At 40.1% G+C, this 16,115-nt stretch overlaps 1 protein-coding gene across 3 annotated transcripts in view; it reads right to left on the bottom strand.

Annotated features, from left to right (window-relative positions):
- Positions 1 to 9,353, bottom strand: part of POTED (POTE ankyrin domain family member D) — a 36,047-nt gene extending 26,694 nt beyond the window's left edge. For all 3 annotated transcript variants that reach the window (NM_174981.6, XM_006723997.4, XM_011529550.3), the window contains exons 1-4: positions 8,381 to 9,353; positions 3,893 to 4,007; positions 3,560 to 3,733; positions 675 to 781 (exon numbers count right to left, since the gene is read on the bottom strand). In NM_174981.6, coding sequence (NP_778146.2) covers positions 675 to 781; positions 3,560 to 3,733; positions 3,893 to 4,007; positions 8,381 to 8,901 — 917 coding nt within the window. In that variant the 5' untranslated portion in view covers positions 8,902 to 9,353. The remainder of the gene's footprint in view (positions 1 to 674; positions 782 to 3,559; positions 3,734 to 3,892; positions 4,008 to 8,380) is intronic.
- Positions 9,354 to 16,115: the final 6,762 nt, after the last annotated feature.

The raw sequence follows: 16,115 nt of genomic DNA, 5'->3' as shown, positions 1-16,115 counted from the left end.
ATCTTTTCTCTTTATCACCCACCTACAGCTTGCCTTCATTAAAGGAAAAGTGTATCCACTTAAAACTATCTTCACTCCCTCTCTCCATACCAACTAAAAATAAAAACATCAAAATACACTGGAAATAAAAAAGGAAAAAAGCTGTTGAACCCACAGTATGTGGGAATAGCAATTAATTGTCATGTGGGGATAAGCTAACATTAATATTCTTCAAAGAAAGCAACTTAAAGCAGAGTCATTGAAAAGATAAAAGGATTTTCAACTCCTATTTATGTTTAATACAGCATATTTAGTGGAAAAGCATATAAGATACAGAGGTTAAAACCTACTAGAAAGGGTTAAGAAGTTCAATACTGAGTCATAAAGTAAACTGAAAGTTAAAGTTCAAACTTCATAAAATTAATATGAAATCCCTTTAGCTAACATAAGATCATGTAACCAAAAACATCATACAACAAATAACATCAGTCAATATAATAAGAGATGATGAATCCTACTAAAACAGTTCTTTATGTTGCCCAGTCCAAATAATTGCTTTTCTACTTAACTGATTTGTGTTGATACTGATCACTATGTCCCAATAAGTATAATTTAATCTTTTTAATTTATTATTTATGACTTGAGTGACTGCTATCAATCTAGAACAACACACAAATTAAAAGAAATAACCATACCTTCCATATCTATCAAGTACATTTAAATTAGCTTTTTTCTTGATTAAAAATTTCACCACTTGCTGTTTTTGTTCATGTACGCCAAGCAAAAGTGGTGTGAGGCCACACTGTAAAACAATATAAAACAAAAACAATATGTAATTCAAAAAATTATGTATTTCTCAACTGAACTGGAAGCTTATGGACTTACACTCACAGAAAGTAAATAAAACTTGGTCGCTTCCTTCTCACTCTTCTGTACTTTCCCACATGCCACTCCTTCCCTTGGAAACATCCCTTCTCTGCCTCACCACATTAAATCTGATCATCTCAAAAACTCACCTTAAACATTTACTGTTTCCAAGACTCTTTGTTTCTAAACGAGCATTTGGCATGGCACTTTTGGATGATTTTTCTTTTCATTTAAACAAAAAGCTTCTTGAGGGCAGGGGCTGTATCTTTTATCTCTATATTATCCAACCCTAAGACAAAATTGTTGTGTATAAAGCAAGAATTTGAATGTAAAATATTTCTTTAGTTTCACATGTTTTACCAAAGTTCAAGCTCCAACGTGCAATAAATATTGCTATTAATACACTGCCCATTTCAAGAATTTTTCCAACATTTATTCATTTAAAATCTATTTGTATTTAATTTTTCCAGATTGTTAACTAGATAGATAATCAGTTCATAGGATTACTGAAACTAAGAGATTTCCTATCTGTATTCTTAATAACTCCATGGTTTTTAGTGTTTAAACCTGCCATCCTGATTAAGCCAAAGCTCTACAAACTTAAGAGACATACTGGATAGCCCATAATACAGCTTCAATTGACAAAAAAGGTTTAGAATTTGCTACAATTCTGAGAAAACTCTGCTCTTAAAAACGACTTACTGACCTAAGCACTTGAATGAGTGAACAAAGGGACACAAAGTCCTGAGAGAGCCATCCTCTACTTATTGGAAGACTACTCACTGCAAATTTCTAAAGACCTTCTGAATGGCAGTGAATAACTGATGGTAGAAAGGAAAAGCTATTATTCTGTAAGCTGATAGATAGTGCCAATAATATTCATTTTAATGTCTCAACGACAGAGATAAGTCAGACTAGGCCAAGAATGGTGGCTCACACCTGTAATCTTAGCATTTTGGGAGCCTGAGGTGGGTGATTCACTTGAGCCCAGGAGTTCAAGATCAGCCTGAGAAACACGGCAAAAACCTCATCTCTACTTAAAAAAAAAATACAAAAACAGATTGGAGGACCACCAGAGCTTAGGGACGTCAAGGCTGTGGTGATCTGTGACCGCACCACTGCACTCCAGCCTGGGGAACAGAGTGAGACCCCATCTCAAAAACAAACAAACAAAAATTTAGATTAATGTTATTGGAAAGGAAAGATTTAAAGGAATTAGCACATATCCAACTCCAACTCTTCTAGAAATATCTGAAGTTTCTGAGATATAAGAATTTACATATTACACTTATGTATTCAGTGGTTAAGCAGGAGTGTATCCGGATTTTGAGAAATTTGTTGTTGTTGTTGTTAGAGACAGGGTCTCATTATGTTGACCAGGCTAGACTAGAACTCCTAAGCTCAAGCAATCCTCCCACCTCAGCCTCCCTAGCAGCTGGGACTACAGCCATGCACCACCATGCCTGGCTTCAAGGAAACATTTTTAAACATACATATCCCGGCTTTATTAGACTTACTCTATCAAAATCTTCAGGGGAAAACCTAGACTTGAAGATTATTTAAAAATTTTCCTGAGGTAACTGGAATGCACAACTCTAGCTGGAAGCTAGTGCAATAGACAATTATTTCAGTCTCATCTCTCATCCACATAAACAATTCCCTTTATCATTTGAGGATTTGGTCAAAAAGAGGAAAGAGTAGGAGAGAGATTCATTTGCTGAAAACACCACAAAATTTTCCCCGGTAAGAGTAGAACAAGGTCTAGTAAACTCAAAATCCAACCTGATCTTTTTACTTATAAGCCCCTTATCTCCCACCTTCCCATCAAGACATTCTAGAATTGAAAGCAGAGTTGAGACTCTAATTGGCCATTTCTACCAGAATAGGATACTAAGTTGGTTAATTACTTGTTATTCCTTCTACTCAAGGGTTCCCAATACATTACCACATATTCACTGCCAATCTGGTTCCTCAGAGGCCTCCTAAAATTTATCTCTAGGCAGTTTACAACCCACTAACTCCCTCTCCCAAACTGAAAACTGTCATTCTCTAAAATGGAAAAGAACCCTGTCTCACCATATAAAGGAAACAAATGAATGAACAACAGTAACAACACACACACACACACACACACACACACACACAACCTCTTCATGGTCTTTTCCCCCATTACCTAATTTCCAAGTTGGCCTTGATATTTCTGATTGCTGCATTTTTCCCTTTCCACTTCTGCCTCATGAGCAATCAGAAATATCTTAAGCCTTGCCACTGAGAGATACATCACCTCATATCTATTAGTGTTTTTTTAGGAATTTGCCAAAGTAGCAGGATTACTATTCACTGAAACATGTTTAAGTTTTCTTGGAGTTTTAATGTAAAACCTATTTCCAGGGCAAATTTTGTCATTTTACATTCATTAGGGAAAAAAAACTTGGCAGGGAAAAATTGAAAAAAAAAAAAGTATTACCTTTTACAAATTCAGTGTTTTTTTAAAAAAAGCACTAACCACAAGTGCACTGAAAAATCTGTACCCTCTAATGCTTCTTTAAAAGTAACAATATTTAAAATAAAGTCTTAGATAATTAAGTCATTTCAAAATATTTTCATTCAGGTTATGCTTGAGCTTCCAAATACGGAAAACTGGCCCTTACACAGGTCAATGTTAACACGAATGCATTTCAGTATTTTGAAGATAAAATTGGTAGATCTATACCTTGTTTTTTGATTCAATATCAGCACCATATAAGAGCAGTGCTTTGGCCATTAATTTATCTTCATTGTAGATAGCATAGTGTAGAGCGGTATTTCCATACTCATCTGGAATATTTCGATCAGCGCCATGTTCCAGCAACATTAACACACATTCATCTTCCTGGCATTGTATGGCCTGTCAGTATTAGACCAAAAACAAATTACAAGTCCTAGGAATTCAAAATAACATTCCACAGCTTTCACCAACTAGTTATATTTAAATGAGAAAACTCATTTTTATGCTATCTATTGAAATCAAACCCATCTCACGCTGATATAGTTGACTACTGCATACCTTTATCAGAGCTGTCCTTTTTTTGTTGTCAAGGACATTAAGTTGACATCGTCTGTCCAGCAGGAGTTGTACTACTTCTGAATTTCCATTGGCAGAGGCCAAATGTAGAGCAGTCCTATGAGAGTGAGAAGACTTGAGGAAATTGTAGTTCACTAGCTAATGCCACATTAATGATTCATGTAGTTGCAAACACTGAATAGCCTATTACTCTGCCTTCAAAACAAACTCAATTTTCCTTTGAAGAAAGCACACTACTTATTACCTCTCATTACTCACTGTATTAATGAAAGAGCAGCCTATTTGAATAGAAAGAGCATAGCTCTTGGATGACATTCAACTTGGGCTGGAATCCTACTTGAAGCTCTGTCACTTCCTAGCTGTTGCTTAGCCTTTTTGTGTCTCAATTTCCTCATCAATAAAATGGGAATGAAAATAGTCAGTTTCTCAGAGGAAACCACTGTAATGCTTAAATAAGACTCTACACAAAATATAGAATAGTTCCTAACACAAATAACAGCTCAAAAATTGTAAGATATTATAATTTTTACTAATACCACTAAAGACAACATTTGAATTAAGTGAAACGATACAATTATACCTACACTTTCAGGTACATTTTAAAGATTACAGGTAGCGTTGTACTGTATTTTATTGAGTCTAAGATGATCATTGTCTCCATGTTTTAACATTTCTTACACTGAAATACCACTTATAATTCATGATTTACTATAATTATAATTGGCAGCATTTAAATAATTTTCTTAGTGAGACATAAAATAATGGGGCATCATACAATCCCTGGTGCCTTATACTAAGTAGAATATGTTATAATATAACAGGTCTGGGGCAGTTCCAGTCAGATGACTAGCATTTAGATAAATTTTAGTTTTTAAAAGAACTATGGAATAAGAGGGCTGAGGTGAAAACAAAAACAATTTTCTAAAATAATCTATTTCTTACTTTGGTTTTCAAAAACTTTAAGCCAAAGAAAACTTGAAATTCAAATGAATAGCATGGGCTCATTTTTTTCAATACTTAGATTTATACAATGTATGTACATCAGATATTTCCAATCATTCATATTAGGATTTAAGACTGTTATAAATTTTCTCTTTTTAAAATGGATTTATGAAACTATTTGTGGAGCTTTTCTCAACTTTTACATTCGGGGATACAGGTGCAGGATGTGCAGGTTGGTTAACATAGGTAAACGTGTGCCAAGGGGGTTGGTTGTACAGATTATTTCATTACCCAGGTGTTAAGCCTAGTACCCGTTAGTTCTATTTCCTGCTTCTTTCCTTCCTCCCACCCTCCACCCTCTGATAGGCCCCAGTGTGTGTTGCTTCCCTCTAGGTGTCTGTGTGTTCTCCTCATTTAGCTCCCACCTATAAGAGAGACCATGCAGTATTTGGTTTTCTCTTCCTATGTTAGTTTGTTAAGGATAATGGCCTTCAACACCATCCATGTCCCTGCAAAGGACAGGCTCTTGTTCTTTCTTTTATGGCTACATAGTATTCCATGCTGTTTATGTACCACATTTAAGTTCTTAAAACAGCTAAAACAGTCTTTACCCAAGCCTTATAAATTTTCAAAAGGGCAGTTAAGGGTTATCTTTTACTATTTGTCACCTTCAGAAATGCTTTTGTTTGAAAGGAGGGAGGAAAAGCTTCAATTGAGATTAAGTCCTAATGCCCCAATTTTGATTCTCTCAGCTTGCTCAGGCGCAGCAGGTAAACATGAAGTTTTCAAAGGTGGAAGGATCCTGAGAGATAGCAGAATATGCCTGCCATATAATAGGTGTCTGGCTTATGTTTGATGACTAAACGGATTGAAAGAATGGATAAACATAGGTTGGAAGTTCAATATTTTTAAAAGAAAACTCCTGTTGAGTAGAGCAATACATTTGCGATAGTAACGATCATTTATATTTGCTATTTTAGTTTTCATAAATATATAACTAAACTAAAATAATTAATCCATACTATTTACACATTAATCTATATATAATAAAATGTATATACAATAAAATCTACCAGAAGAGGTAAACAGAAGCCCTCTACTTCTGAAGAGGGTAAAAGTTCACAGAAGATAGCCATCCACAGGTATAAAAATAAATAACAGAATGTGAGAAATTATTTGTATCTATGCAAGTAGCATATTCCTTCTCTTCCCAAGGATTATTTCATTACTAATGAAACTTAACTAAAACTTTTCAGATGTTCATTGCAGAAATCACAGATAAGAGAAAGGGAAAAACTTCACTTACAAATCCCCAGAAATAAGTTTGATTATATTTTCCACATATTTCCAGCTAACACAAGAGCAGATTCTGTTTGTGTATATGTATAACAAACTGATTTTTTCTCACTTGATATAGCAAAGTACATCTTTGCATGCCGACATATCTCTGTATCTACTGACACCCTCAATGGTTACATATTATTCCATCCTATGGATGCACTGAAATTTGTTTATAACATCTTTATATGAGTTCTTCTCAATACATGGCTATTTTAAGCAATACTAAGAAAAACAGCTGTGTCTGTTTCATATAGATATTTCAGTATAATGGAATAGATGGGTAAAAGGCATACACATTTTAAAAATATGGTTCTTACCATCAAAGTGTCTATTTGAAAAGTCGCAGCAACTTAAACTTTCAGCAAGTATATAAGTACCACTGTTCTTCACCCTCACAAACTTTGTGGACAGAAAACAGTATTTCATTCCTTTATATTTATTTATTTATTTTTATTTATTTATTTTTTTGAGATGGAGTCTCACTCCATCACCCAGCTGGAGTGTAGTGGTGCAATCTCAGCTCACTGCAACCTCCGTCTCCCTGGTTCAAGCAATTCTCCTGCCTCAGCCTCCTGAGTAGCTAGGATTACAGGTGCATGCCACCATGCCCAGCTAATTCTTTGTATTTTTAGTAGAAACGGGTTTCACCATGCTGGCCAGGCTAGTATCAAACTCCTGACCTCGTGATCCACTTGCCTTGGCCTCCCAAAGTGCTGGGATTACAGGCATGAGCCACCATGGCTGGCCTTTCATTCCTCTTCTAACTTAAACAGAAAATAGTCTTTCATTCCTCTTCTAACTTAAATTCCTTCTCTTAGCAGGAATGCTGTTTTCCTATGTGCACAGGTCACTGGTAGACATGCAAAAAAGTACCTTGCCCAATTTTAAATTGAGCTTATTTTATTATATCTGCATATATATGCCGGTTTCAGTGGCTCATGACTGTAATCTCAGCACTTTGGGAGGCTGAGGTGGGTGGATCACAAGGACAGGAGTTCAAGACCAGCCTGGCAAAGATGGTGAAATCCCGTCTTGATTAAGAACACAAAAAATTAGCCAGGCATGGTGGTGGGTGCCTGTAATCCCAGCTACTTGGTAGGCTGAGGCAGAGAATTACTTGAACCAGGAACCAGAGGTTGTAGTGAGCTGATATTGCACCACTGCACTCCAGCCTGGGCTATGGAGTGAGAGTCTGTCTCAGAAAAATAAATAAATATTTTCACATATAAATAGGCATTTGTGTTTTCTTCTGGTACTTTTCTCCTTTTGTATCTTTAAAATTTTTAATCTATACTCCAGGAACTTATTTTTGTGACATAAAAATCTAGGTAGTTTTCTCCAAGCAGCATGCATTTAATTTATGAATAATTCACCTTGTTTTACCAATATGAAACATCACCATTATCAAGTGCTAAATTCTTACATATATTTGGGTATTTCTGGATTTCCTATTCTGTTCTGTTCATTTATATCTTTTCAGCTGTTAGTAAACAATTTGTGGAAATAACACATGCACATTTTGATATCTGGAAAAGCAAGTCTTTTTCCATTCTGTTAAAAAAAATCAATTTATCACAATGATAAAATACATCATGTGCAATTTAAAGACACTAAGACTTTGCTATTTTTATTTGGCTTATGTAAAAGTGATAAACACAGAAAAAGCTCACATCTTAAGAAAAACGAACCTTCCTATTCAAAGATATGAACCATACTTCCCATTTCAGTTTCCTTTTAAGGTTACTCAGTAAAGAACGTATTTACATAGGGGTACATCGATATAAAATCCATATTGGATTTTATTTGAAAGATATTTAGCCCAGAAGTTGATATATTATGGGACTTAGTTCTCAATATACACCTTTCTATAGTGTACAGAACATTGTTTTAAAATGTGTACATTAAAAATAATCTGCTGCATCGACTTAATTTTGCGAGTTAAATCACTTTAAAACAGTCTATTAGTGTTCTATAAGGGAAATTGTAATTGGATTGGAAATCAGCTAAAACTTTTTGTGTCGCTGTTTATAAAGGGACCTGGGCCCTGACCTCTCTGAGGTTTCCACACCCAGGGTGGTGTGGGGCCTGCGGAGGAAGAGAAAGCCTGGCTCCTCCCTCCCTGCGCCAGGAGGGTATGTCCCCATCATCCCCCCATGTCCTGCCTCCTCCCATCCCAGGCCCGGTTACCTCTTTTCCTTGTCCCTCTTGTTCATGTCAGTGTCCCTGAGCATGACGATGAGATCCTTTCTGGGGACTTTACCCCACCAGGCAGCTCTGTGGAGCTTGTCCAGATCTTCTCGACGGATGTGGTACCTCGGCTCCATGAAGGCGCTGTGGTCGTAGTCTCCCCAAGCGCCCACGTTGCTCTTGCCGCTCCCCCTGCAGCAGGGGAAGCAGTGACAGCACCACTTGCCCATCTTGCTCCTGAGCATCTTCATAAAGGAGTTTTCATGGTCTCCAGAAGTGCCCACGTTGCTCGTGCCGCTCCCCCTGCAGCAGGGGAAGCAGTGGCGGCAACACTTGCCCATCTTGCTCCTGAGCATCTTCATAAAGGAGTCGTCGTGGTCTCCAGAAGTGCCCATGTTGCTCTTGCCGCTCCCCCTGCAGCAGGGGAAGCGGTGGTGGCACCACTTGCCCATCTTGCTCCTGAGATCAAATGGCTTCTTCACAGTAGAGGCAGTGGGCATTGAACAAACCTCAGCCACCATCTGCTTTTAACAGCCAGGGGAGGCCGGTAGTAGCGAACAGATCGCGTCTACCAACCAGTTTCACCAACTAGCAGGAAACCTTGGGTTTCCAATCTGTTTGAAGAGAAAGGTCAATCCCAGCCAAAACTTGCCAACCCCAGCAAGGGAGCCCAGCCCACCCCACCCAGGGAAAACCCACACCCACCCGGGGAAAGCCCACGCCCACCAGGGGGACCCCAGGCCCACCCCAGGAAAGGCCAAGCCCCCCCTCCGAAGGAAACACCCAGCCCAGTCAAGGGAATGCCAAACCCAGCAGAGAAAAATTCAGGCCCAGCAAAGGAATGCGAGGGAGAAAACGCCAATCCAAGCAAGAAACACCAGGCAAAGCGACTAACGCCAAGCCAAGCTAGGAACGCAAGGCCAAGCGAGGAACGCAAAGCGAAGCGCACCCATTACAGGTAAGCCAAGCCGTCATGTGCGTGCGGGGCGCGCGTGAGGCGGGCGCGCGTGCGGGGCGCGCGTGAGGCGTGCGCGCCTCAGACGTTATGCGGCGTGCGCGTGAGGCGTGCGCGCGTCATTGCACGTGGTGCAGGAAGTGGCCGATGTGTGCAATCCGCGTGCGCAAGTCTTGGCGCCACAAATGTCAGTGACAGCCTTGCGTTACTGGCAAAGTTCATGGGAGTTGACCCAGCTTTCTGGCCACTGAGGAGAAGCCTGTGGTGGGAAAAAGCCTCTTGAAGCAGGACTGGGGCTAGAGCGCCTGGAACTCGAGGATGCTGACAGCCTCCTCTGAAGAAAGCCCCCAAGACACTAGTGGTGGTGCTGTTGCGGGTGGCCGCCGCTGCAGCTTAGAGCTCTGGTTGGCGAAGCTGGATGCAAATGGCCTCAAAATCTCCGAGCACAAGACGCCCACGGAGCCCAGGGCCTGCGTGAGGCGCCTTCCACACCTGCTCCTCCTTGGTCCGTGCCCAGAACACAGGGCCATCAGCAACGGGGCACTCGGGGCCACAGAATCGGGGCTGGGCTGCTAGCTCCTGCTGTGGTGCCCCCTGCCTGGTGTCCAAACCAGGGCCAACAGCTGTGGGGCTTCTGGCCCGGGGTGCTTCGCTTCACTGGCATGCAGTAGGGTTGAGGTGCAGGCCGCTGTCTCCAGGCCTGAAAGAGGCGGCTGGGAGGAGCACCTACCACTGATGGGGAGATGCAGGAAGGCACCCCCACATGCAGATCCTGGGAACAGTACACTGCCAGCACCAGGGAGCCAGATCGGAGCCTCCCTGGTAGCCTGTGAGCTGGACCCAGGCAGTGGCACCTCGACCCTCCTGCTGGGACCCTCCTGCTGTGCAGGCTTATGCAGCCAGGCTCCAGGCTGCTTCACCCATACTGCAGGTGCTTTGGTGTGGGAGGAAAAATGCATTCTGGCCGGGCACTGTGGCTCACGCCTGTAATCCCAGCACTTTGGGAGGCTGAGGCGGGCGGATCATAAGGTCAGGAGATAAAGACCATCCTGGCTAACACGGTGAAACCTCATCTCTACTAAAAATACAAAATACTAGCGGGCATGGTGGTGGGCGCCTGTAGTCCCAGCTACTCGGGAGGCAGGAGAATGGCGTGAACCCGGGAGGCGGAGCTTGCAGTGAGCCGAGATCGCATCACTGCAACCTGGGCGACAAAGCAAGGCTCTGTCAAAAAAAGAGAGAGAGAGGGAGAGACAAAGACAGAGACGGAGACAGAGAGACAGATGGAGAGAAAGAGAGAAAAATGGATTCTAAGCCTGGGACACCGACCTGCTCTTGCCAACAAAAGCAGAGGGGAAGCCAATTACAAGTGCAAAAAAAAAGTTTTTATTTCAGTGGGATGAATGTCTAGGTGTGCAGTCACTGGAGTAAACGTCACTGGGACATGATGTGTAATTCTTTGTGTACATCGCTGAGTGCTACTGCTAATGTTGTTAAGAACTGGTGTATCCATGTTCAAGAGAATTACCAGGCTATAGTTTACTTTTTTGTACTATTTTGATATCAGAGTAATGTTAGCTTCATAAAATGAATTGGGAAAGATTCTCTATTTTCAGAAAAGATTGTGTGTATTGGTGTCAATTCTTTAAGCAGTACATAAAATTCTTTAGTAAAACCATTTTGTCCTGGAGATTTCTCCTTCAGGAGTCTTTAAAATTAGAAATTAAATGTCCTTACATTTTAGGGCTATTAAATTACCTATTTTAGATTGGGTGAGTTTTGTGGTGGTTTCTGCTTTTCATGAAATTGGCCCATTTTCCCCAAGTTGTCAAATGTATGTGAGTGGAGTTGTTCATGACATTCCTTTATCATTTTCATGTCTTCAAGGTCTGTAAGGATAGCCCATTTCATTCATGAAATTGGTAATTTATGACATCCCTTTTTTCTTTATCATTATTAGTTAAGGTTTGTCAATTTTATAGATATTTTCAAAGAACCAGCTTTATTTCTTTGCTTTTCTTTGTTGTTTTCTTTTGGCTGTTTCATTTATTTCTGCTCTTATCCCTATTATATTCTTTCTTATATTTGTTTTGATTTTATTTTGCTACTATTTTCTACTTTCTTGATGTGATAGCTTGAATTTTTATTTGAGAGATTTCTACTTTTCTATTATATACATTTAGTGAAATACATTTTCCTCTCAGCACTGATGTCAACTGTGTTAAATCAAGTTTGATATGTTGTATTTTTATTTTTATTCAGTTTAATATATTTAATTGTTTCCCTTGAGACGTTCTCCTTAGAAGTGTGCTTGCTGTTTAGCACTATTCACAATAGCAAAGACATGGAATCAACCTAAATGCCCATCGGTAATACACTGGATGAAGAAAATGTAGTACCCATACAACATGGAATACTATGCAGCCATAAAAATGAAGGAGATCATGTCCATTGCAGGGACATGGATGGAACAGGAAGCCATTATCCTCAGGAAACTAATGCAGAAACAGAAAGCCAAACTTCTAACGTTCTCACTTATAAGTAGGAGCTGAACAATGAGAACACATGGACACAGGGAAGTAAGCAACACACACTGGGGCCTGTGGATGGGGGAGGGAGAGGAGAGCATCGGGAAAAATCTCTAATGCATGCTGGGCTTAAACCGAGGTGATGGGTTGATAGGTAGGGAAAACCACCATGGCACAAATTTACCTATGTAAAAAACCTGCACATCCTTCACATCTACCCCAGAAGTTAAAATAAATAAAAATGTAAAAAAAAGAACTAAAAAAGTATGCTGTTTATTTTTCAAGTATTTAAGATTCTGCTGTTATTTTACTTTTTTATTTTTAATTTGATGCCATTTTGGCTGGAGGATACATTCTACAGGATTTCAGTTTTTAAAAAATTCTTAATGTTTGTTAAAATCCAGGATACAGTCCATTTTGGTTTATGTTCTGTGGGTACCTAAATGTTCTGCTGTATTCTGCTGCTAGGGGGTGGAGCCCGTTTTTTTCTTCTTTTTTTTTTTTTTTGAGGCAGAGTCTCACCCTTTTGTCCAGGTTGGAGTGCAATGGCGCAATCTCGGCTTACTGCAACCTTTGCCTCCCGGGTTCAAGCGATACTCCTGCCTCAACCTCCCGAGTAGCTGGGATTACAGTCATGCACCACCACGCCCGGCCAATTCTAGTTTTTTTTTTTTTTTTTTTTTTTTTTTGTGACGGAGTTTCACTCTTGTTGCCCAGACTGGAGTGCAATGGTGCAATCTCAGCTCACCACAGCCTCCACCTCCCAGGTTCAAGTGATTCTCCTGCCTCAGCCTCCCGAGTAGCTGGGATTACAGGCATGCACCACCATGCTGGGCTAATTTTGTATTTTTAGTAGAGATGGAGTTTCTCCATATTGAGGCTGGTCTCAAACTCCTGACCTCAGGTGATCTGCCCGCCTCGGCCTCCCAAAATGCTGGGATCACAGGCGTGAGCCACCGGGCCCAGCCTTAATTCTAGTATTTTTAGTAGAGATGGGGTTTTGCCATGTTGGCCAGGCTCGTCAACTCCTGACCTCAGGTGATCCACTCGCCTTGGCCTCCCAAAATGCTGGGATTACACCCACCGCACCCAGCCAGTGGTGGAGCACTTTATAAATGCCAGTAAGATCCTGTTGCTTGATGGTGTTGTTGAGTTTTTTTTTTATATATATAACATTGACAGTATTTAGATCTAGTTTTTCTACCAATTATTGAAAGATGCTTGTTGAAGTCTCCAATTACGATTGTTGATTTGTCTATTTATTCTTGCAGTTCTATCAGATTTTGCTTCACATATTTTGTAGCTCTGTTATTGGTTGCACGTACATTTAAGATTGCCAGATCTTTTTTGTGAACTGACTCTTTTTGTCTTACGTGATGCCCTTCTCTGTCTCTCCCAATTGTCTTTGCTCTGAAATTAATTTTAGCTGGTATTGAGATAACACTCCTGCCCTCTTTTATTAATGTTTACATAACATACCATTTTTCCTCCTTTTACTTTCAACCGATCTATATTATTATTGTGTGCTAGTGTAGACTCTCATTTCTTCATGAGTTTTAAAGAAAACTCCTAAGACTGGTTATAAATAGCAAAACAGACCAAATGGCAATAACCACCTACCCACTAAATCTTGTCATGTGATATTCCTGTATATCATACTTGCACCTTCTCTGTTCAATCATTGTGACCCACTTCAAAGAATTTGGCAGGTTCAGCACAGTTTCTTATATACATAACTAATTGTCCAACCTTTCTCAAATTTCCAGTCAAATCTTAGCTCTATTTACAAAACATATATTTTGGATAGCAAACTAAAATTTATTTTTTTACTAAACTCCATATCAATTCCTCTCTAAGAGCCACGGTAACTCTTTCCTGGTATCCAAAAGACACAACCTTGGCTGGCTCTGATTAACATTTGCTTATACATGCTGATAGGCCCACTAAACTATGCAATTATGACAGAATAATATTAGAAAGCTTAGAATTAATCTGTTTTCAAGCCCAAGAGTATATGAAAAATATAGAACATTTACCAATTAACTTTGTATTAGGCACTTCACACATTTCTCATATTCTTATTTAATCCTTGTAATTGCACAAATGATCTTCTGTGGTAGGCATCATCTTCTCTTCTTTACAGCTGAAAAACTGAACTGAACATCAGGTAGCTGGAATTAAGCTGGGCTTTTACTGACACTCACCTTTGTGCCAGTCTTAGAGAGGTTGCACATCTGACTAAAATGTTCACACTTCTCTGAATCCGCTCCACGTGTAGTGTCTTTCTACTATGGCTTGGTGACCTAGGTTTACTCCTGGGGCTTGCTTTGACCAGTGGAACTTTGGCAGGCATTACAAAAGCAAAGGCTTAAATGGAGTTTGCATAATTACACTTGATTTGTGCCTCTTTCACTACCATGAGACAAACATATCTCAGCTAGTCTCTTGTTTCCAGGAAGATTGAAGAAAGGTGGTGCAGATCCTCGTTAGATAATTTGCCCAATGCAAGCCAGTAAATAATAAAACTCCCTCCAGTCAGTAAACTGCAGAAGTGCAAGTTCAGGGAAGCCCAACTAGTTTCAACCTAGATCAACTTGGTCTTAGATGTTTCCAGATACTTGAGCTGAGAGGATAAATGATTATTTTTCTGAGTTGTGGGGTGGTTTGTTATGCTGCAGTTGATAACCAATACAAAATTGGAAACTCTTTCCCCTGCTTTTTGCAGATGATAAAATGAAACACAATGTCTGATTGGAGAAGCTTACAGAAGTGTTGAAGCATCTTTGTTGACCGTGCATAAGGAAAGTTCAACATTAATGTTAAGAGGCCAGAAAGACTGGGTTTAGGTGGCTTGTTAGTTTTTCTGTCCGAAAACAGTACTTGATGTTCTCTATTAATCTAGGACAAAAGATGAGAACTGAAAGGAAAGGATAGAATACTCTCCATGATGTACTGTAGTAACACACTGGTATACTTCTCAGTATATAAATGTCAAAAAGAAGTGTTCTGACTAGCTCCTCTCTGTATGCCCTGCTGGAAGAGGTAAAATATAACATGCAAGACTCACTTTTGCAGTTAAAGTAACCAGGGAAATTTTAAACGTTCCATCATAGTTTGACAAACTATAGCCCACAAGCCAAATCTAGCCTGCTGCCACTTTTTATTAAGTTTCACTGAAGAAGACAGCCATATCTCTGATTACATATTGCCTATTGCTGCTTTTGCTCCACATTAGCAGAGGTGAGCAGTTGAGAGCGACATTACGGCACATAAAACTTGAATTACGGTGGTGGCTGCTTTCCCCCTCTCTATTTGCTTGTCCTTTATCTGTTTTCTTTATTCTTTTCTTTTTTCTTTTTTTTTTTGAGACGGAGTCTCTCTCTGTGGCCCAGGCTGGAGTGCAGTGGTGGGATCTCGGCTCACTGCAAGCTCTGCCTCCCGGGTTCATGCCATTCTCCTGCCTCAGCCTCCCGAGTAGCTGGGACTACAGGCGCCCGCCACCACACCTGACTAATTTTTTATATTTTTAGTAGAGACAGGGGTTTCACTGTGTTAGCCAGGATGGTCTCAATCTCCTGACCTCGTGATTCACCCGCCTCGGCCTCCCAAAGTTCTGGGATTACAGGCGTGAGCCACCGCGCCCGGCCTTGTCCTTTTTCTGTTTTCACACTCCTCCCGGCTGTGTAGTCACTCGTTCTCTCTCATTTATCAAAGCCTTTCCCAGTCCTGACTATCTGGCTCATTTTAGAAAATGTTTGCTGACCCTTGCTGTAGAGTGCTGTAGGAAGGCATGGCTGGAAGATCTTGGACTAGAGCAGGAAAGTACAGCTGATCATGTGAGGAAATCGTGTTGGTGTAGTTGTGGCTGTGGTTGTAGTACTGTGGTTGTACTTAACAAATGGGAAAAGAGACATGATTGCAGGGAATTCTCACTGGAGTCCATTGTGAAATTTCAGGTCAATGCTTCTGTCATTCACCTGCTGTAGAAAATTATTGAATGGTTTATCTACTTTAAAAAATCTTATTTTTATGCAGCACCTTTACAACATTAGTGTCATCCCAAAGATTTAACTTGATTTCTAGACGGAAATTTGAACCAAGAGAAATGGGGCACTCTGGAAATGTAGCCAGGCCCAGATATATTTTCTATAAAACATTGTGTGTGTGTGTGTGTGTGTGTGTGTGGTGTGTTTAAAAGGTATCAGTCAGATATTGCCCCAATAATATGTATGCTTGGATCAAGCACAAAGTG

Source organism: Homo sapiens, chromosome 21 (genome assembly GCF_000001405.40).
Source record: "Homo sapiens chromosome 21, GRCh38.p14 Primary Assembly".
Taxonomy (NCBI): Eukaryota; Metazoa; Chordata; class Mammalia; order Primates; family Hominidae; genus Homo; species Homo sapiens.
Note: the sequence above shows the minus strand (reverse complement) of the source record. Positions and strands in the feature narration are given on the sequence as shown.